The sequence below is a fragment of the Homo sapiens genome, chromosome 1 (genome assembly GCF_000001405.40).
Source record: "Homo sapiens chromosome 1, GRCh38.p14 Primary Assembly".
Lineage (NCBI taxonomy): Eukaryota > Metazoa > Chordata > Mammalia > Primates > Hominidae > Homo > Homo sapiens.
Genome location: NC_000001.11, coordinates 18,538,272 through 18,560,704, shown reverse-complemented (window position 1 = coordinate 18,560,704; position 22,433 = coordinate 18,538,272). Strand labels below are relative to the sequence as shown.

Sequence of the window (22,433 nt, the reverse complement as noted above, 5' to 3'; positions counted from 1 at the left end):
TGTCTGCTGTCTTTGTTCTCGCTTCTTCTCCTTTTTTTTTTTATGGGGGTGGTGGGGGGCGGATGGAGTCTTACCTTGTTGCCCAGGCTGGAGTACAACAATCCACGTGGCATGATCTTGGCTCACTGCAACCTCCGCTTTCCGGGTTCAAGCAATGCTCCTGCTTTAGCCTTCCGAGTAGCTGGGATTGCAGGTGCCTGCCACCACGCCTGGCTAATTTTTGTATTTTTAGTAGAGATGGGGTTTTGCCATGTTGGCCAGGCTGGTCTTGAACTCCTGACCTCAAGTGACTTGCCCGCCTCGGCCTCCCAAAGTGCTGGGATTACAGGCGTGAGCCACTGTGCCTGGCCCTGGGACAAGGTATTTCACAGCTCTAAGCCTCTGTTTCCTGATGAGAAAAATGGGAGAATAACATTATCTCCTTCATGGGACTGCCATGAGGTTGAAATGAATTAAGATTTTCACAGCACTAAATGGCATCTGGCAGAATTGGCATTTGGCAGCTCTCAAGCAACATCATTCTCCTGAATTCATCTTGCTCAGTATGGTCGTTCTTTCAACTCTCTTGTCCCCACCCAGCCTGTAAATAGCTCCTAGGCAGGGCTCCCCAGTCATCTCGCAGAGCCTTTGCACTAGGTAAAGAGACTTTGGTGTCGTTCTAAAGAGGCGCTGCAGGGTTCACGCATTGCAACAACGGTTGCCCTTGAAATGGGCCCCCTGTGAGGGCCGAAGGCTTTTTCAGTGGGAAATGCCCACCTTCTCTTCCTTCCTCCAGTAAGAGAAGCTGGAGAGCAGACGGGTTCTAAATCCTCTCCTCATGCTCCAATTCTGGGATAAATGCAGGCTGTGGGGATGCTCGTGTCTTCTCAAGAACGATACTCCTGATCATCCAATCCAGGCTCAGAGCCCCTGGATGTCTAAAAAGTTCTTCCTGAGTGTTTAATAATAGCACAGGGACATGCCTCCAGCTACACTGGCATTCTTTCTGTTCCTTGAAGATGCCAAGCACATCTCAGTCCCTGGGATTTTGCCCCCGCAGTGCCCTCTACCCCGAGTGCCTCCCCCCTGGATCTTTTCACGGTTGGTTCTTCCATGGTTGGGCTCAGGTTGGGAGTTCAAGACCAGCCTGACCAACATGGGGAAACCCCGTCTCTACTAAAAACACAAAATTAGCCGGGTGTGGTGGCAGGTGCCTGTAATCTCAGCTACTCAGGAGGCTGAAGCAGAATTGCTTGAACCCAGGAGGCGGAGGTTGTGGTGAGCCAAAATTGCACCATTGCACTCCAGCCTGGGCGACAAGAGCAAAACTCCATCTCACAAAAAAGAAGTTTTTTCTTAGAAGAGACTTTCCCTTACCACCTTGACTAAGTTGCCCCAAGCCGTTCGGTGACTTTCCGTCGTTTTCCTGTTTTATTTTCTTTATAGCAGTTCTCATTTGCTGAACATATTCTATGTGTGGAATGATTTGTGTCTTGCCTGTCTCCCTCAGTAGACTTTCAGCTCCACGAGGGCAGGGGGCTTGTTTTGTTCACTGCAGTATCCCCCATCCCCAGAACAGTACCAGGTATGTAAGAGAGACTTAAATTGCTCTTCAATGAATAAATGAAAGGAGGTATGCAGCGTGATTCAACCATGTTAAAATGCATAGAATAAAAAGGAGAAAGAAAGGTAACAAACAAATGTTACGGGACTCTTCCCCCGTCTTCTTGGTTATACATTTTTTGGACTCTGGAAAGTGCACATCTTAACTTTATAATTAGAAAAAATACCCAAACCATGTGAAGACAAAGCTCTGCTGCGGCAGTCTGGCCAATCTTTCTCTGGGTTTAGCTGAGGTTCGTTTTATTTCTGCTCCTGTGGTTCTCCTTGAATTTAAAAACAAACCCCGCTCATCCCCTTAGGAAAAACTTCTGTAGAAGTCAGCAACCTGTCGCTACCTTCTGCTTTTGCTTCACTTCTTGGCCTCAATTTCTGAAAGAAGATATTTCATTTTGGATGGTTCACGCCCCGCCCCCGCCCCCGGCGCCCGTAAGTCTTCTGGGATACATCCAGGAAGGAAGGCAGAGGGCAAAGAGTTAGGTGGTGGCGTGCTTCCCCCATCAGATTGGGAGCTCCCCAGCACAAGGGCTGTCTCCTCCATCGGACTGCCGGACACCTCCAGATACCTTTTGCTCTAAAAGCAGTCCCTCCATTCTCCCCCTCTTCCTTCCTGTCTTCCTTTTTCTCCTCATCCCGATCCTCCTCCAGGAGAAGGTCTTCACGGTCCTTGCTCTCTGTCCTGGGTCAGAGGGTCAGGCACAAGGGGTGATCTCCTTGGCAGAAGTTTCCACTGCCTGCCTGCACAGGTGGGTTGGCGAGCCCAGGCTGTCCCTCCCCCACCCTAGACCTTCTAGGCAGAGGTGAAGCCTCATTCGCCCTCGATGATCTCAGCCCCAGTAGGCACCTCCCCACTGGGCTCCACTGCCCCCGTCCCGCATTACACACGCTGGGGCTCACGATTACCCCGAATTCATCCTGGTGGTATAGTCTTCTGCTCAATACGGCCATTCTTTCAACTCTCTTGTCCCTAGCCAGCTTGTAAATAGCTCCCAGGCAGGGCTCCCCAGTCATCTCATGGAGCCTTTGCATCAGGTAAAGAGACTTTGGTGTTGCTCTAAAGAGGCGCAGCAGGGTTCACGCATTACAACCACGGCTGTCCTTCAAAGAAGCCGCCTCTGAGGGCCGAGGCTCTTTCAAGAGAAGCTCCCGTGTGCAGAACGTTTCCGGAAACGGCCATCAGAAGCAGCACTATTCATGCCTTAGTAATCAGGATGAGGGCGAGAACGCTGCTTGCTGCTCTAAGAACAGCCACAGCTAGGCTTCTGCAGCGACCTCTGTGTGCCGACACCGGGCTGAGTGCTCACACGCCTACTCCCTGCCAGCCCAGCCATCGGATTGTGTCACTCGCTGCTCAGAATGAGTTCCCATTGAACTCGGAGTACAGGACTCATCACCATGGTTACCACGGCCTGCTTCTCCTCCCCACCCTCCTTTCTCCACCTCCCACCCTGTCCCTGGCAAGGCTCCACCTCTGGGCCTTTGCCCTTCCTTCCTGCTGCCTAGACTTCTCCAGGACACCCACACAGTCCGTTCCCGCACCTGCTCCAGGATGCCAGTTAAGTGGTACCTTCACAGGGAAGCCACTCCTGACCAAAGCACTTAAAAGTGCTACTTTGGGCCAGGTGCGGTGGCTCAAGCCTGTAATCCCAGCACTTTGGGAGGTCGAGGCAGGCTGATCATCTGAGGTCGGGAGTTCAAGACCAGGTTGACCAACATGGAGAAACCCCATCTCTGTTAAAAATACAAAATTAGCCAGGTGTGGTGGCACGTGCCTGTAATCCCAGCTACTCGGGAGGCTGAGGCAGGAGAATCGCTTGAACCCGGGAGGCGGAGGTTGCAGTGAGCTGTGATTGTGCCACTGCACTCCAACCTGGGCAACAAGAACAAAACTCCATCTCAAAAAAAAAAAAGGGCTACTTTGCCTCCGGGTTCCCCTAAATCTCTAGTGCTCTTTTCCTGATTCATTTTCATCACTACCACGTGACATCCTATATACATCAGAGGTCCCCAGTTCCTGATACTGGTCCGTGGCCTGTTAGGAATGGGGCTGCACAGCGGGAGGTGAGCAGCGGGGCGAGCATTACGGCCTGAGCCCCTCCTCCTGTCAGATCAGCAGTGGTGTTAGATTCCCATAGAAGCACGGACCCTACTGTGAACTGCGTCAGTGAGGGATATAGGTTGTGAGCTCCTTATGAGAATCTAATGCCTGATGACCTGTCACTGTCTCCCATCACCCCCAGATGGGACCATCCAGTTGCAGGAAAACAAGCTCAGGGCTGCCACTGATTCTACATTATGGTGAGTTGTATAATGATTTTATTATATATTACAATGTAATAATAATAGAAATAAAGTGCACGATAAATGTAAGGTGCTCAAATCATTCCAAAACCATCCCTTCCCACCCACCCATCTCCTAGTCCCTGAAAAAAATTGTCTTCCATGAAATTGGTCCCTGGTGCCAAAAATTTGGGACTGCTGCTCTACATTGTATTTGTTTGTCTTATTTCTTGTCTGTCTCCCCCTGCTGGAATGTCAGCTCATGAGAATTCGTCCAGCTTTGCTCTCAGCTATCAACCTGGGGCCTAGAGACTGGCACATTATAGGAGCTCAATAAATATTTGCTGAGTGAACAAACATCCTTATGCAGTAGGTGCCATTAATCCTGTTTTGCAGATGAGAAAACCGAGGCTCAGAAAGACTAAATGGCCGGGCTACCTTTGCACATCCTGGCTCTGTTTAGCAGCTACAGTGTCATAGGCCTAGTGCTAGGCTCTGGGGGCACAGAGATGGGTCCCTGCCTTGGAGAAGTGCCCTGGCTGGAGTGGGAGACAGAGCAGCAGGTGTGTATAACCCAGGCTGCTGTGCAGGGCTGGAGGCAAGCATAGTGGGCTGTAGGAACATACCCCTGTCCCCAGCCTGGGGCATCAGGGAAGGCTTCCTGGAGAAGGTGACACCTGAGCTGAGTCTTAGAGGATGATTAGACATTTGTCAGGTTGGGAGAGGTAGCAGCTAAGGAGGGAAGTGTTGTCCCAGCTACATGGAGTAATAGGATAAGCAAAGCCATCCAGATACGAGAATGTGGGGCTTTTGTATGCCTGCAGATTGTCCGGTCTGGCTGGGGTGGGGAAGAGAATGCATGGCAGGGAGTGGTAAGAGGTGGGCAAGTAAGATAAATGAGGCTGGAAGGTCAGGGGCAAGAGGATAGGGAGCAGGTAGATTGCCCAGGGCCATGCTAAGGAATTTGGGCTTCATCTCCCAGGGCTTGGGAAGGGATAGGGTACGTCACTTTTGGGTTCTAGACTGAGTCTCCGTTGACTGTGGGGAGGTCAGAACAGACTGTGGCCAGGTGGGAGGTAGGTGGACCAACGAAGAGGGTGACCTGGGTGAGCAATGCTGAGGCCTGAACCTGGGTGGAAGCAGGGGCACCTGTGGCGGGAGGAACTTCAGAATTATTAAAGAGGAAGAGCTGTGGCAGCCTGGCGCCAGGAGGCCCGGGCGCTCATGACTGCTGCTTGTCTTGGCCTAAGGCAGTTTTGTCCAGCTTGACAGCCCTCCTGGCCCATGAGATTTTAGCTCCAAGTGATTCCTGGATGACTCAGAAAATCAGCATCACTCCCTTTAAAGGATAAAGGTACAGGCCCCCAGTGGAAAGGTGCTGGCTCGGAGGCCCCTTCCCAAAATACAGGCCAGAATGTCTCCATCACTGACAGCGTCAAGGCCATGTGCAATGTGGCTTGTGGGTAGAGACTGTGGACGTTGGTCCCTGACAGGTCTGGGTTTGAATCTCTAGATCTCTGTCTGTGACCTGCTGCTTCCTGGGTGCAACACAGACAAAATATTTATAGCAGTGACATGAGGATGGAATCAGCTGACACGTGTGAATCTCAGCACAGAGCCTGGCACGTGAGCAGTGATTAACAAATGATCACATTTACTTCACTTTTAGCTACTCCCATTGCCATGATTAGTATTATTTTGGGAAGGATATTTAATTAAAAATATTTTGACTATGGAGAATTTTGAACTTCCATGAAAACGGACAGGGTGTCTAAGGACCCCCATGTACCCAGTCCCCAGCCCCACTCGCCACCAACCCCTCTTCAGTTCTGTCCCCTTCACACCCCCATCCTCTCCTCTTGTCCGTTATTAAGTTAAAGCAAATTTCAAACATCCCATCATTCATTCATAAATATTTCATCGCCATCACTATTAATAATATACAAAGTGACTGCTCTGAAAGTAACGACTCCATCCAGGAAGCACCCGTGGGGATTGGCTTCCTCAGGTTAAACTTGTGCAGGGCACCTTCGATGCCAAGATAAATACAGTCCCTGCCCCCACCAGGAGCTCCCGGTCACAGGCTAGGAGTGCAGGATAGAGAAAGGGGATGGGTATAAACAACTCCAAAAACATGGTAACTAAGTGCTACAATCTAGTTGGATATAAAGTGATGCTTATTTTCTGGACCTGAGATGTAGGGAAGCAGTTCGTTTCAGAGAAGCCTTATATTTACAAAAAAAAAAATCAAAACCAAATGAAGCAGTCATGTGTAGTGCGGGGCAGTAGGGGAGGTGTCGGGTGTGAGGCCAGAGAGACATGAGCTGAATTCCAGTTCCAGCTCCAGCACTTACTGATTGTGTGGCCTGGAGTGAGTCACTTCCCCTCTCCGTGCCTCAGTTTCCTCCTCTATCACACTCATCCCTGGGTAAGTGCTGATGAATTCCATTTCATTGAGCAGTGCTGGGAGAATCAGTTGATATTCATAACCAGGCTGCTGCCCGTGACTTTAGGCAGAACTGCTGACCTGGCAAATTAAGTTGTAACTGAACGGCAAAGAAAAATGTGTCTTATGCGCCCAATTACACAATAGACGGTTTGGGACATGGTTTGCTTAGTTAAATCTATAACCAATTGTGGATCTATCACAGCTTATGATGCTACTCTAATTGGAGCTGGTTGTCAAAGTCAGGTGGGAGGGAGGTCACCAGGATCTATATAGGTTGAGCCCCAGGGCTTGCTGAATGGACCTGGCTCGGTGTCATGGCCCACCATATCCTAACTGTGTTTCTGAGGGCAAGTTGCCACTCCTCTCTGAGCCCCAGTATTCCCATCTGCAGAATGGAGAGAATTCCTGCCCAGCTTCCTCACTTGACTGTGCCCCAAGGCAGCCCCTAGAGAGCTCTGAGGGTTGTTCTAAGTCACTTATTCACCCAGTGAGGATTTATTGGGTACCCATTATGAGCTCGGTGCTGGGCACAGTGCTAAGTGCCAGGTATCATGTCGAGGAGATGGATGGAGCTCTCGACCTCATCATGATGCACTCGGTCCAGGGAGGAAGGAGACATTGCTTGGATTGGTTTAAAGGGAGGAAGGCCTTGGAGAAGTTGAAAGATGGGGTCATTTGACTTCATCTAGAGCTGAGACTTTCCTACCCCTGAGAATAAGGGACAGTGAGCCAGTGGCACTGGAGCTGGGGCAGGAAGGGGGATTCGCACGTGCAAAGGCCCTGTGGCAAGAGGATGCCTGGCTGAAGGGGGTACCATGTGTCGACGGCAAGAGCGAGAGGTGAGCCCAGGGACGTGGATGCAGAGCCGATCGGCAGAGCCTCAGAGCCACACTACGGGGTCAGGGAGCTGCTGAAGTGGGGAGAAGCAGCCCCACGAACTAGATTTTGTTTTCATAGTGCCCCTCTGACTGCCCTGTGGAGAGGGACTGGAGGGAGAGCTGGAGGGGAAGCAGAGGGCACAGCTGGGGCCTGTGCAGTTCTGAGCCATAGATGATGGTGGCTCGGGCTATGTGGGGGTGGCAGCGATTCAGTGGATGGTTCCAGGATGCTTTTGGAGACAGGGTTGGCAGGGCCAGCGGAGGGGTCAGGCAGCCTGCAGAGGGTGTGGGTTTCTGGACAGAGTGCTGGGGTGGGAGAAGCTAGAGGTGGGGAGTCTGAGGGGTGGCCAAGAAGATCCCAGGACAAGATCAGAAGTTCCGGTTACAGCCAGTTTGAGGTGCCCCTGGGACATCCAGGTGGGGTCAGGAAACAGATTAAAGACACCAAGCTTGTGATTTTGTCAGTGCCTCATGCACAGGTGAAATTTCGGAGTCATCAGTGAGCAGGTGGCATTTCAGGCCATGCACATGGAGGAAATCACTCCGGGAGAAAATGGTTTAGGCCCAGTCCTGAAGGCCACTCCTTAGGAGTTGTGTGGAGGGGCAGGGACAGCTGGGGAGACCGAGAAGGAGAGACCAGGGAGGGGAGGTGCAGATGCCGGGAAAGCACGTTGCAAGAAGAGGGGAACCTCCACCGGCCAAATGCTGCTGGGAGCTCCCGATGGGTAGGCTGACAGGCGCCTGTTGGATTTGGCAACGTGAGGTTGGTGGGTGGGGGCCTTTGGGGTTGGGGCTAAGCAGCTGATGGGAGGAGACAGAGAGGCAGGTGTGGGAGCCATGAGGGCTCAAGGGAAGGTGTCCTGACAAAAGAGAGAGGGCAGAACATTTCTGAAAGCTAATGGGAAGGGTCCGGGAAGGGGACAGACTGAAGACGTGGGAGGTAAGTGAAATATGGCATGGAGGGGGTTCCTAGTGGGACCCAGGGTCCAGGTGGAGAGACTGGCTTTCAGTGAGTTGGGGGGGACTTTCTCCCTATAAGAGGAGGGGGCAACTGCAGTGGGGCAGGAGGAAGACATGATGGTGGGTTTGCATCTGATGGCTTCTCTATTCTCTAAGTCTTAAGGGGTAAGGCCTGCAGCAGAGAGCCGGCGGTGAGGGAGGGTTGCGTAGAAGACAGAGGAGAGAAAATAGGCACAAGGTCCTTGGGGAGGCGAGGGCACTCTGTAGATGAAATAAGGTGCACGCTTTTTGGGTAGTTGATTTCCTGAGGCTTAACCACTGTCATCCTGACCTTCTCATTCCTCAAAGGCCACCGCGGCCTCTCCCTGGAGCAGCGGTGCCTTGGCTTTCAGATTTTTCCTTAAGCAGCAAACCATTTCTTCAAATAAAACTTGACACGGAGCCCCAACAGGTGCAGACCAAAGCAAAGCTGTTCTGGCGATGAAGCCTCTGCCCGACTGGCTTCGCCTCCCCTCCCTGTGGCATCTCTGTGAAGTCTGAGGCTCCCTGGGACCCAGTGTGAATTCCACTGATGGAGGAGCCAAGTTCTAGCCCCCTCTTTGCCATGTGTTAGGCAAAGCTCTGTGCCTCGGTTGCCTTGTCTGTAAAATGGGGATATTACCAGAGCGGAGAGAGAAGCCTGCACCAGGGCATTTCTCTCTCTCTTTCTCTCTCTCGTTGTGTGTGTCTGTGTGTACATACTCCCCAACTTCTTTTCTTCCTTTCTTCCTTTCCTTTCCTTTCTTTCTTTCCTTCTTTCTTTTTTTCTCTTCTTTTCTTTTCTTTTTCTTTTTTTTTCAGAACCTCACTCTGTCACCCAGGCTGGAGTGCAGTGGCACAATTTTGACTCACTGCAACCTCTGCCTCCTGGGTTCAAGCGATTCTCCTGCCTCAGTCTCCCAAGTAGCTGGGATTACAGGTACACACCAATGCGCCTAGCTAATATTTGTATTTTTAGTAGAGACAGAGTTTCGACATGTTAACCAGGCTGGTCTCAAACTCCTGACCTCAGTGATCCACCTGCTCAGCCTCCCAAAGTGCTGGGATTACAGACGTGAGCCACTGTGCCCAGCTATTTCTATGATTTCATTAGCATCCATAACCTTGCCTCTTGGTTCTCTATTTAGCAGTCACTCATCAGCTATCTTGGGTTGTTATTGTGGAATTAGGACTTGACCTTGGTCTGACTGCAAAGCCTATGCCATGTAGATGAAACAAAGCATTTTACTTCTCAACCAGATGTGGCAGCCCATGGAGCTGGATGCTGGGGCTTTGTCTTGGGACAGAGGGATTGGAAATGGCCTAAAGGGTGGATTTGCCAGGTGGGCAATAATTCCACATTGTTGGCTGCAGGAAGCAGTGAACGCAGGTGGGGTGGACCAGTTGCTTGGCAGTGTCTGGGCCCCACCTGTCTGCACAGAGCACTGTGTGAGAACAGGGCTGTGATGAGAGTCCACCAGCTGAATTTGCCACAACAGGGAGTGGACTCCCCTCCCCACCCAGCCTGACCTTGAGACGGTTGCCCTGGAAGACCATGCTGAGATGGAGGGGTGCAGTGTGGGCCTTGGAGGCCGACAGACTTTTGTTTCAGTCCCAGCTTGGCCATTTACAAGCTGCATGACCTTCTGTGGACCTCAGTTCCCCATCTGTAACATGGTAGTAAAAGGTCGTCACAAGGATGAATGGGACACTGTGCGCAGCGTGCCCAGCTGGTGCCTGGCACACCGCAGGTGTCCCACAAAGGTGGTCCTTCCTCTGGCTTTGCCCCTCTCTCCCATTCAGAGCCCAAAGGCCTCCCTGCCTCTTCAGTCCTGGGTGAGAAGACCTCTCTGCCCTCTGCGTGTTCCTTGTTATTAAGTGGATGTGGATTTTGGATGGGATGACATGGCACGGTGTGGGCCGTGTGATGGGCAGGCGCCACATGGACCTCAGACTCACACAGAGCTGCCTTTGAATCCCAGTGCCGCCACCTGCTAACTTGATGATCTTGGAGAAGTCACCTGCTTCTCTGGGCCTCAGACTCCTCATCTGGAAAATGGCAAGAATCATGACATCACCTCAAATGGTGATTGTGAGGATTAAATGCATTGCCATTTACACTCCCCGAACCAGACCATAGCCACTTCTGCTTCCCAAGGAGGCAGAGGTGGCACAACTGGTGTCTAGGGGAGAATACATCTTTGCACTGAGGCCTCCACCTACAGAGCCCGCATATAGGCCAAGAGCCAAGCCCAGGAATTCCCTGTCCAGGCAATTTCCGAGCTTCTCCCAGGGCTCTGGGTTGGTAAGGGTGAAGACCGGATTGTTTGGCAGAGCCTGTGTGAGGTTTGGGGTGTCACAGCAGGCCTGGCGGAGCTCTGGGAGGGGAGTGAAAGCCAGCTGCCTTTGTGAGAAACAGGAGCAGATGGCTGCTGGGGGTTGGAGGCCAGGAGCAAGAGAGGGGAGGAGGGGGAGGCTGAGGAGCTGGTGGGAGGCTAGAGGGCTGGGGTTGGGGAGCTCATAAGGACAAGGTTCCTTCCATCCATGGGACTTGGAAGAAGGAATTTCATAGCAGAGATGTCTGCTTTTCCATTTCCAGGCAATGTTATTTTTCTTCATTAGCACTACCCAAACCTTCAGCAAATTTTGGACACACACATGTGCCTTGTCCTGGTGGAAGCTGGGAGGAACCAAGGCAAGGGGGCCACTATGTCCCACATTTGGGATAACAGAGGAAGGGAGGAGAGAAAGTCCATGTGAGAGGAGGTGGATGAAACTGAGCCTTTCCCAGATGAGGGGCCAGAGCAAAAGTAGTCATCTGCCGGTGCCTGGAGCCACTTCATTTGAATATTAAAGAGCAGGTGAATCATAAAACTAGAAGACTTGGAACATCATTCATTCATCTGCAGATATTAATTGAGCATTTACTACATGCCTGGCATGCTGCTGGGGATACAAGGTGAGCAAAAGAGAAGTGCAGACATCTGGGCAGGTAACCAGGGTTATGCACAGAAAGTATCCCGAGTTTTTCTTTTTAAGAGCATGAGGGCCCAGCTGTGTGAGAATGATGGCAGCTAGGTGGTGTTAATGCCATCGGACAAATGTGTTGATGGAATAGGCCCCAGAGAGTCGTGCGCTGCATGCTAATTGCATCTGTGTTTCTCCAGCTGGGGGTAGTGGCTGTGATGCAATTAACACGGAGGGCTGGTGTGGAGCTGTCATTTTTCCAGCCAACTGGCCTCGTCCCACTTATGAAGGCAGCTTGACTTTGGACTTTGCATGGTTCTTTTCCCATAAAAACACCTGGAAAGTGTACGGGACTTTTCTCCTCACTACACGCGCGACTTGACAGATTTTAAGATCAAATTCACTCTCACCATCACTCCCTGGAGATTTGAGGGTGGAGCTGGCTGCAGTGTTCAGGAAAAATACAGCGGATCTCAGAGGAGACTGGCAGCATGTTAGGGTTGTGGAGTAAGGCTGAGTCTTGGATTCCTCCTCTGGGTCATCCAGACTCTCTTTCTGGTCCTCCAAAAGTGGAAGCCCTGGGTTTGAACCCCAGCTCCACCTCTTGATCTTGGCCAAGACATCCCTGCTGTGAGCCATGAGGCCCTGGACTGGCAGATGGGGGCAGTCATGGTGCTGTGTCTGCAGGGTTGTGGTGAGGATCACATGGATGGTGTCTGTGAAACACAGCACGCTGCCCAGCACTGAGTCAGCTCTGTTAGTGACCTGGGCTGCAGGCTCGTCAGTGCAGTCCCCAAACATTCCCAGTCCCCCTCCTTCTGGGTATATGGAAGACAGCTTCTCTGGCTGCCTTGGGGTCGAGTGGAGCCACGGACTGCTTCCAGCCGATGAGTTGGGAAGTGACCCGGGCATCATGCTTGCCTGTGGGAGACTCTCCAGGGGCTTTGTTCCCCTTTGCCCCAATGACTGGGGCAGTATGGGTCCTGGAGGAGGACACAGAACAGACCCCAGAGGATCTATCCTGGTCTTGTTAAATAAATGAGAAGTAAGTACTGTGGCTTGAATCCATTTGCTGATAATTTGGGACTGTTTGTGAGGGCAGCAAACATAGCTTTTCCCGACTGGTGAGAAAATTACTTCCTCTCTCTAGACCTGTTTCCTAACCTGGAAGATGAGAGGCTGGACCAATGGCCAGGTTGTCTCTGGGTTCCCTCCATTTCAACCTCCAGGGGAGGAAATCAAGGGGCTGCTGTCCACACCCACACAGGAGCCCCTGCCTCACCCCTGCCACACCCCTACCTTGCCCCTGCTTTGCCCCTGCCTTGCCCCCTGCCTCGCCCCTGCCTCACCCCTGCCTCAACCCTGCCATACTCCCCGTAAGCCAGCAGATTCTGTTGTTGCTGTAGGTGGGCTGTACTGGAAGGACAGGGTGGGCTGGAGAGAGGAGGAGGTCCCTCTGGCGTTTCAAATTCAGTAGACCCAGAACAGAATTCCTCCTCCCGCTGGCTCCTGCTTCTGGCTTCCTCGCTCAGTGGGGACCCCAGGAATCCTTCCCGTGGCCCAGCAGAGAACCCTGGATGCCATCCTGTGCTTCTCCATTTACCCCACCCAAATCCTTTCCTTTCCACACTCTGATATCTCCCATATCTGTCCTCTCCTCCTTTCCTGTTTCCATCTGCCTCCTGCAACAGCGTCCTCTTTCTCCTCTCACCTTGTGTCACACCGAATCCCTCCTTCCCATCCATTTACACCACTGCTGCCCGAGAGATCTTAACAGACAACCTGGATGCGTCACTCTCTCCTGAGTTCAAGATCCACCAAGCAACTTGTAGTTTCCCCATTCTCCATCAGGGCCTGGGCCATGCAAATTCCTCTTCCTGGAATCCCCTTTGACCCATGGCTGCCTGAGGAATTCTTATTCTTCCTTCAATGCTCAGCTTAAATGCCTCTGGCTATGGAAAGCCTTCTCTGAAATCACAGGCTTTCCTGGTGCCTTTGTGACCACACTTAAAACAAGGAGGCCACCTGCCCTGTGGCAGCAGGCCTGTGAGCTGCTGGGGAGGTGGCGGACAGGGACTGAACCACTCTTATTCCTCTGGGGGTCCCTAGCACAGGGCCCAGCAGATGGCAGGTGCACAGCAAGTGACAATCACTGGTCCACCCACTCACTCACCCATGCCTGTGCCCCGCAGCACCCTAGGCACTGGGAACGCAGCAGTAAGGGTGATGCTTGCTTTCTATTGGGAGAGGGAGGATTCAGCAGTAATCAAGGACTAAAATGAAGGCACAAGATCATTTTGAGAGAAGCAAGTGCCAAGAAAGCTGTTAAACCCAGGGCTGGAGAAAAAGTGCTCTAAATAGATGGTCAGGAAAGGTCTCTTTGAAGAGGTAGCATTTGAGCTAGGACCTGAATGATAAGAAGAATCTTCCATTTGGGCACCCAAAGAGAAAAGCATTCTAGCAAGTGGGAACAGCATGTGCAAAAGCCCAAGGAGAGAATCGCTCAGTGCTTATTGAGTTGGATGGGTGGGTGGGTGGGTGAGTGGATGAATGGGAGATGCCCACTCCCTCTTCTTCTCCCTCTTGGGGTCTGGATGCTGAGTTGCTTTGGTGACCAGAGCCAAATTGTTTCTGCTCTCCAAGATGACAGACAGAACCTGCCACTGGGTGTTTATGGTCAGGAGCAGTCAGGGGCCGATGCTGGCCCCTAGAAGCCCCTGAAGGACACTGTGTGTGGGGCATGAGAGAGGATGTGAGAAAGACACATTTTTTGTATGGCTGGCTTGCATCTCCTCCAGCTGAGGACCTGTGGATGCTGCAGGCTCCTGCTTCATAACAAATATCTCCTTTTTTTTTTTTTTTTTTTTTTTTGAGACAAGGTCTCACTCTGTTGCCCAGGCTGGAGTACAGTAGTGCGATCTCAGCTCATTTGCAACCTCCACCTCCCGGCTTCAAGCGATTCCCGTGAATTCCTGGAGAGTTTCTCATTCAGATCTGTCTGCCACTGGAGGGGAAGTACTGAACCACACCAAATTCTCTGGCTGCATCCCTTCTCACCCCTGCCCTGTCTGTCCCAGTCTCCCATTTTTGCAGCTCTCCAAAGGAGTTGGCCACCTTACTTTGATATTTCTGCCTTCCTAGCAGATTCCCACCACATCCACACATGTATGTATTTTTCCATCTCAATGAAATGGCTCTAACAAGGAAGTGCCAATTAGTGAGGCAGAGGGCAGACGTGGAGCTTGCAGCAATGCACCTGCAGAGTTTACTGCTCCTGCCTGGACCGTCTGCACTGCTGCGCACTTTGGCCTCCCTCCCCTGCTCTCAAGCCAGCAATTAACCCGGGACCTGTGGCGTTTGCTGGAGAAGGAAGGACACAGCTGGAGCTGCTGAACTGGGGGGACAGGTGTGTGGTCTCTATGGCAAGTGGGAGGAGGGTGCGATGCTGGAATCTCACGGTGATGTGCCATGTGCACTGCTGGGAGCCAGTGAAGGCAAAGACCTTGGAACCGGTCTAATTTCCAAGTCACCTCAGGCTCCTAGTGTGGTTTGAGCATGGAATTTACTCGTTATGAGCCTCAGTTCCCTCAACTGGAAAGGAGGGACAACAGAGGTATTTTCAGGAGGGTGAATTTTGATGCCATCTGTCAAGTTCCTGGTGTGTGGGAGATGCACCTCGAATGGGAGTTTTGGCTTGGGGCTTTCTCTGATTTTGTCATGTTTAATTATCACAGTCCTTGCCCTTCATTGCCAGGGTACAGAGGAGGAGAGGGAGGCTGGGGGATGGAAAGTGTGATCCCGCCACCTGGACAGTGCAAGACCTCCTGGCCCCAGGCTGCCTGACTTGCCAGCTTAGGATTCTTTCTTGAGGTAGCCAAGCAAAGTGAGTGCTGGCTCAGGAGAGGGATGGAGAGAGGCTGGACCCCAAGGCTGGCCTGTCTGTGGTGGAGCCGTCTCCGCATGCTGGATAGATCAGTCCCAGCTGAGTTCCCTGGTGCCCAAATGGCCCCACTAATCCTTTGCTGCCAGTGGGGCTGGGACTGAGGCCCCTCAGGAAAGATGAGATGGGATGAGATGGGCCATCCTCCCTGTTCTAGGTCCAGCAGGTGTTGGAGCTGTCTCAGCTGAGTTCTGGTAAATAAACATTCATGAATGCATGTTGGACAAAGGCTTCCTGCATGGGGATGCTGGTGTGGTGGGGAAGTTCCTTACAAAGCTCTGGAATCGGTAGCTTGTCTCCAAGGGGTGTTTTTCCAGTGATGTGATGGTAAAATGTTTAACAGCCAGTTTTCCAGGAAAAATAAAGAAGGTAAACTGATTTGTAGCATTTGCCAATTTCCGTGGTGTAAATATTCCCACTATGGCTACCTTCAAGCTACTGCAGAATTGAGGTGAGATGTACATCGTCAGCGCTCATTTGGGAGGAGGTGTAGGTCATCTGCAGCATGCCTGAGGCTTCTCCCTTGACCTCTGGTGCCCCTCATTCCTCACTGCTTCCCCAAGCCTCACTGCTTCGTTTTCTTGGCCTCTCGCCCTCTGCTCACAGAGGCAAGATATTTCTGCCACGTCCCCCAGAGGGTCTTGCCTTGGGGCACAGCCAGTGATAATGTGAATCTGGAGGCTGCTCTCCTAGCTGGCCTCTGGGGCTCCCCATAGCTGGAGATGGAGGAGATAGATTGTTCCAGGGGTTACAGATTTTTTAAAGGTCACAGGCCCTCTTTGAGAATCTAAAAATTGAACATTTAACAAGGGAAGTGTAGGAGTGTATATTTACAGAAAATTTTGTACATAATTATAGGGAATTCTTGACTCCCAAAGGCAATCAAAGGACACTGTCAGGGTCTCAGGGGGTTTAGTGGGCTGTAAGTGCTTGGAGTCTCATGAGAGGGCAGGAAGGCTGAGTAAGGACTCTGGACAGAATTTTATAATTTTCAAAGCACTCTTCTTTCCCTCACTGAGTGTTCCCCACATGGCCAATCCTCCAGAGCTATGCTATTCTAAGCAACATCATTCCCCAAATCAGGAAACTGAGGCCCAGAGAGGAAAGACAAAGCCTTTTGTTAATATCACTACAGCTGCCATCCTGTGAACATCTGTTTGTATTAGGTGAGTATTTTTCTGGTTGCTGTTCTATTATTATCATTCAGCAAGTGTTTATTGAACATTTGCTAAGTGCCAGGCACTGTCCTAGGCATTTGAGTATATGGGTGAACAAAATAAAGAAACGTGTCCTCTTGGGGCTTGCATTCTAGCAAAAGAAAACAGACAATATGTAATTTTCTCAGTCAGATGCAGTGACTCACACCTGTGATCCCAACACTTTGGGAAGCCAAGGTGAGAGGATCGCTTGAAGCCAGGAGTTCGAGACCAGCCTGGGCAACATAGTGAGACCTTGTTTTCAAAAACAAAAAAAAAATAAAAAAATTAGCTGAGTGTGGTGGTGTGCACCTGTAGTCCCAGCTACTCGTGAGGCTAATGTGGGAGAGTCACTTTAGCCCATGAGGACAAGGCTGCAGCGAGCTCTGGGTGACAGAGTGAGACCAATTATTATTGTCTCAAAAGATTATAATAATTTTCTCAATTAATCTTGTTGGAGAAATTTCAGATGCTTCATGTAGAAACTGAAGACCTGGCCTTAAAACGGGGCCCTGGGCTCTAGCTTGACAGCTGCTGATTGCTTGAGAGTTGTGATGTCTCGGCTTTGAATTTTGCCATGTGCCAGCTGTTTTAATACACGTTTCTCATCTTCCCAGCTCTGCAAAGCTGGTGCATTAGTTTCCTGAGGCTGCTATAACAAGTGACCACAAAGTGGCATCTTTAACAATAGGCATTTATTCTCTCACAGTTACCGAGGCCGGAAGTTCAAAATCAGGATCACTGGGCAGAAAGCAAGGTGTCAGCTGGGCTGTTCTTCCTCCAGGGGCTCTAGGGGAGAATCTCTTCCAGTGTTGGAGGCTGCCAGTATTCCTTGGCTTGTGGCTGCATCACTCCAGTCTTCAAGGACAGCATCTTCAGATCACCCTCTGCTCCATCTTCATGTCACCTCCTCCTCTGTGTGTCTTTGTAAAATATCTCTCTGCCACTCTCTTATAAGGGACAGTGGTGATTGCATTTAAGGTCCTCCCAGATGCTCCAGGATAATCTGCCCATCTCAATATCCTTAACTGAGTCACATCTGCAAAGAATCATTTTTATTTTGCCCTATAAGGTAGCACTCACAAGTTCCAGGCATTGAGACGTGAATATCTTTTAGGGGTCCATTCTCAGCCTACCACAGCCAGGTATCACAATTCTCCTTTTCTAGTGGGGTTAAGTCACCTATTCAGTGTCCCACCATGAGGACATGGCACACCTGGGGTTCAAACCCTGGTCTTTTCATGTTCTTTCCACCATACGACACTGCACTCCCATACTAGGTGCACACTCTGCAGATGAGCAAACTAAAGCTCTGTGAGCTGACACGATTGGGCCAAGGTCATGGGTGACCGCAGCCTTTCCATGTCTTGCGTCCTTTACCAGGTGGCCAAATTAGAGTCCGTCTGATGCATCCTCCCCCAGGCCTGTGCACCCTGAGCTGGCACCAGGCCTCCAGTTGCCACCAGAAAAATGACAACAGAAGGGGTGGCCGGGAACTCCCGTCTGTCTCTGCATTTACCAGCTTTTAACTTTCAAACCAAGTCAGCCTCAAGGCTAATTTTCTGCAGCTTCCAGTCGTTCAGCTCCATCAATTGTGCCTGACACTGTGAAAGCTTTTGCTATTGATTCTGGGCTATGTTAACTTTCTTTCTCCCTCTCCCCACCCCCAGCCCCAGCCTCAGCTCTCCTGCAGTTTTTGGTCCACCAATTAGGTATTGCCGGGGACAATGTGGGGTGGCTGCTGCTGCCTTTCAATTACCGTCACAGTAAATACAACTTACTCTCCACCCCCGGAGTCCCTGCTGCACTCAGAAAGAGAGAACACTGCCTAAATGACTCCTCTCTCCGGCCTGACACTCCACAACTCTAGCGGATCAATAAGTCTATCACCCCGTGGGGCTCCCTTGAGACCACCCAGCCTTGTTAATTGGCTCTGGGAGATGGCTGGTTGGCAGAGGAGTGTGAGTGTGTGAGTGCGGATGTGTGAGTGTGTGTGTAAATGTGGATGGGGGAGGTGGCTTCTCCGCTCCCCATCCCCCTCCTAGGGATGGGAGAGCCCCTTCAACATGGATTAGGTGGGGAGGATCTCTGACTCTGGAAAACAGCCTTTGAATTGCAGGGATGGCAATATGTGATTCCTCCAGATTTAAATGGTCACAAAGCAAAGAGATAAATGGAAGTGTTTCAAGGTCGTAGTGGGTAAGCCCTTGATTCTGAAGTCAGGTTGACTTCAGTTCTAATCCTGGCTCTTTCCCTAATTTGCTGTATGGTCTTGGGCAAGCCACTTAGCCTTTCTAAGCTGCTGTCTATGAAACAAGCATCATGTCTCCAGTCCCAGAAGACTGTTTTGAGGGTTAAATGGAAGAATGGATGTCAAATGGCACATCAGTAAGTGACAGTGATGACTGAGGTCCTTGGAGTTCTAGGGTGGTGGGGTGGGTCGGGCAGGTCTTGATGTCAGGCAGACAGGAGCACAGATCCTGGACCTGCCACTTACGAAGCCACATGATCTCGAGCAAGTCATTTTCTGTGTCTCAGTTTCCTCTTCTAGAAAATGGGGGAATAACACCATTGTATGTGGCTGAATAGTGTCTCCCCCAAATCCTTGTGAACCTGGAACTTCAAATGTGACCTTATTTGGAAATAGTGTCTTTGCAGATGTTATCAAGTTAATACTGAATCATGCTGGATTGGGGGGGGGGTCATAAATCCAATGACAGGTGTCTTTATGAGAACGCCGACTGAAGACGCAGGCACGGAGACACAGGGAAGGCTGGGTGACGACAGAGGTAGGGATTGGAGTGATGCAGCTACAAGCCAAGCAATGACAAGGCTGCCGGCCACCACCAGAAGCTGGAAGAGGCCAGGAAGGATTCTCCCCTGGAGCCTCCAGAGCTGCCCCTTTCCATATGAAGCCCCTTATCCTGCTGTAACCCCAATTTCTCCAGGTCTCAGAAACCCAAGGAATGGGCCTCCATGCCCATGTGAGCTGGCCTGTAGCCCGCTCAGATAACCACTGGGTGTCTTCTTTCCAGAGGCCCTAGGCAATGAAGTAGACCTTAGGTGGCAGGCGTGGGAAAGGCTGGTGGGAGGTGAGAGGCAGCAGGAGGTAGCACTGATGCTGGCCTCAGCCCTTGAGGATCTTGAGGTCCCACTGAGCAGTGTGGTCTTTATCATGCATGTAGGAGGAGGCCCAGGGAGTGATGTGATCCCAAGGCAACCTGCAATTTGGGGTTGATCAACCTGGTGGCCGTGTTGCAGACAAATTGGATGGGATGAGGCCAGAGGCAGGGAGGCTGGGGGGACATTCCTTGTAAGGGATGATGAGGCCTGAGTTAGGGCCACAACAGGGAGGATGGAAAAGAGCAAGAGGGGGAGTCACTCCAGATCCCTTCTTCCTTCTTCGAGCTCTGTCTGAAGACCCTGCTTTGTGGAACTGTAAGAGCAATGGCCTCCATGTACTGAGAGCCCCCCATGGACCAGGCGCTGTGCTGAAAGCCTGGGCTGGGTGATCCCGTTTCTTCTCCATCAGATACAATCTATCTGTTCCATTTTACAAGGAGGAAATTGAGGCACGGGGAGGTGAAGCAATGTGCCAAAGATCACACAGTTGGGGAAGTAGCAGGGGGACTCACACGCAGGCCTGGATCTTGACCACCATTCATGCTGTCATGTGGAGGAGGCTGGCTCTCATCATCACTGTCATTACTGTTACTTGCTTCCTGCATCTGGGTGTGAAGACTTAGTATAGAGCCTGGCACATGGTCGGTGCTGGAAAAATATTGTTCAATGAACAAATAAAGAGAGGGAAGAGGAGCAACTCCAGATGTTGAAAGGCTGTGCCTCTGCATGGCACAGAATACAGGGCCTGGTGTGGACCCCACTCCCACTGGCTCTGGTTCCAGTGCTCCCCCAAGCTCTGTGGCAGGGAGTGGAGAAGGGTCAGGTACCTTAACCAACATTGCAGCATGGAGTGTGACCAGGTAGGGAAGTGTTGGGTGGCCTCAACCCAGCTGTCACACATGGGATGCCATCTTCACTACTTGTCCACCCTTTCTTTTGGAGGAGGCCTCTCTCACCAGCTTGGGGCCTCCTGCCAGGCCCCCAGGGCCGAGGCATCTCCTGCAGGGATGCTCCACAGTGTGACCATTTTCTCCGCTAGTGGGTGGGGTCAGCTGAGCCAGCATGTCTGCCCACCCCTTGGCAGCCCAGGGATGGGAATTGGCAGGTGCCCCACAGGGGAACTGACAGGCTGACTACCCACAGTCTCTTGTAGTTTTCCTGCCTCCCATCCCAGAGTCCTGGTCTGGGCTCCTCAAGCCTTTCCTTCCTTCCTTCCTTCCTTCCTTCCTTCCTTCCTTCCTTCCTTCCTTCCCTCCCTCCCTCCCTTCCTCCCTTCTTCCTTCCTTCCTTCCCCTTCCTTCCTCCCTTCCTTCCTTCCTCCCTTCCCTTCCCTTCCCCTTCCTTCCTTCCTTCCTTCCTTCCTTCCTTCCTTCCTTCCTTCCTTCCTTCTTTCTTTCTTTCTTTCTTTCTTTCTTTCTTTCTTTCTTTCTTTCTTTCTTTCTTTCTTTCTTTCTTTCCTTCCTTCCTTCCTTCCTTCCTTCTTTTGAGTTTCAATCTTGTCACCCAGGCTGGTATGCAGTGGTGTGATCTCAGCTCACTGCAATCTCTGCCTCCTGGGTTCAAGCGATTCTCCTGCCTCAGCCTCCCAAGTAGCTGAGATTACAGACATGTGCCACTACGCCCAGCTAATTTTTGTATTTTTAGTAGAAACGAGGTTTTGCCATGTTGGCCAGGCTGGTCTCGAACTCCTCACCTCAGCTGATCTGCCTGCCTTGGCCTCTGAAAGTGCTGGGATTGCAGGCATGAGCCACTGCGCCCAGCCTCCTCAAGACTTTTCAGTGGAGGCCAGGCCAAGATGCTGCCAAGCTCTTTTGCTCACCCCCTGCATCTTTCCCCTTCCTGCTGCGGCCTGAAATGCCTTCTTCCTGTGCAGCTTGTCTTAGGTCAGGGTTCTGGATACAGGGCTTTGGGGCACGTGACTTACTGAAGGAGGGCTCTTACCGTAAGGGAGCAAAGAAAGCAGCACAGGCAGGGCAAGATGCCAGCAAGCTTGTGGTTTCAGGTAAAACCCAGCCTCAGCCTGATCCCACAGGGAATGCTGGGGTGTAAATGACACCACACAGTGGTCCTACCTTGAGGCAAAGGGACCTGGATTGTGAAAAGGATGGGAAAGGAGCCCCTCTCATCGAGAGTCTGTGCACCAGCCAGTGTGCTAGGCTCATAAACAGATTTCTACTTCATGCCACCTTTACAGCAACATGGAGAAGTTGGTATCATTAACCCCATTTTTCAGGTGGGAAAATTGAGGCTCCAGGAGGTGAAGGAACTTTCCCAGCCAATGCAGCAGATTAGCAGCAGAGTCAGCGTTGAATCTGGGTCTGAATGACCTCAAGACACCACTCTGAGTGCTGTGAGGGAGGCAGATGCATGTCCCAGTCTCCTGGCATTGCTGCTGCCTTGACTGGGAATTGTGACATTCACCTTAGCATAATGCTCCATGCACCTTCACATACATTATTTTATGTTGGAAGCAGTTGAATGTAGTGGTTAAGAGCATGGATTTGGGAGTCAGACAGACCTGGATTCAAATTCCTGCCTCGCTACTAAGAAACCGTGTGACCTTGGGTGGCTCATATTACCTCTTTGAGAATGAGCTTTCTCATCGGCAATATAAGGATCCTGGCAGTATATCCTTCACAGCATTGTTACATGGATTAAAAGGGTTAATATCCATAATTAACTTAGAGCAGTGTACATGGCACACACCTGGTACATGTGGGCTAGGTTGGTGATGAGAATGGTGATGAGGAAGGTGACAAGGAAGGTGAAGGAGAAAGAGAAGGAGGGGAAATGCTTGTTTAGCAAGGGGTCTGGCACATCATAGGTTGGTTGTTGTTGTTGCTGCTATTATTATTTAAGTTTTACAATAGCATTATGGCAAGGGAGCATGGCACAGTGCCTAGCACATAGTAGCTGCTCATTAAATATTTAATGCCTAAGAAATGAGCAAGGCAGAAAATTGCAACCTCATTTTAAAGAAGAACAAAGTGAAATGCTGAAAGCCTGGGGACCTGCTCACAGCT

The 22,433-nt window shown here is 51.2% G+C and overlaps 5 annotated features.

Annotated features, from left to right (window-relative positions):
- Nucleotides 2,319-2,826: an enhancer, noted in NCBI's record as "OCT4-NANOG-H3K27ac-H3K4me1 hESC enhancer chr1:18884373-18884880 (GRCh37/hg19 assembly coordinates)". NCBI's record gives its function as "activates a minimal SCP1, AML or CMV promoter by ChIP-STARR-seq in naive H9 embryonic stem cells {active_cell/tissue: H9 hESC(naive)}" and the evidence as "EXISTENCE:reporter gene assay evidence [ECO:0000049][PMID:30033119]".
- Nucleotides 2,827-3,334: an enhancer, noted in NCBI's record as "OCT4-NANOG-H3K27ac-H3K4me1 hESC enhancer chr1:18883865-18884372 (GRCh37/hg19 assembly coordinates)". NCBI's record gives its function as "activates a minimal SCP1, AML or CMV promoter by ChIP-STARR-seq in naive H9 embryonic stem cells {active_cell/tissue: H9 hESC(naive)}" and the evidence as "EXISTENCE:reporter gene assay evidence [ECO:0000049][PMID:30033119]".
- Nucleotides 6,819-7,318: an enhancer, noted in NCBI's record as "H3K4me1 hESC enhancer chr1:18879881-18880380 (GRCh37/hg19 assembly coordinates)". NCBI's record gives its function as "activates a minimal SCP1, AML or CMV promoter by ChIP-STARR-seq in primed H9 embryonic stem cells {active_cell/tissue: H9 hESC(primed)}" and the evidence as "EXISTENCE:reporter gene assay evidence [ECO:0000049][PMID:30033119]".
- Nucleotides 7,319-7,820: an enhancer, noted in NCBI's record as "H3K4me1 hESC enhancer chr1:18879379-18879880 (GRCh37/hg19 assembly coordinates)". NCBI's record gives its function as "activates a minimal SCP1, AML or CMV promoter by ChIP-STARR-seq in primed H9 embryonic stem cells {active_cell/tissue: H9 hESC(primed)}" and the evidence as "EXISTENCE:reporter gene assay evidence [ECO:0000049][PMID:30033119]".
- Nucleotides 9,370-10,194: an enhancer, noted in NCBI's record as "H3K4me1 hESC enhancer chr1:18877005-18877829 (GRCh37/hg19 assembly coordinates)". NCBI's record gives its function as "activates a minimal SCP1, AML or CMV promoter by ChIP-STARR-seq in naive H9 embryonic stem cells {active_cell/tissue: H9 hESC(naive)}" and the evidence as "EXISTENCE:reporter gene assay evidence [ECO:0000049][PMID:30033119]".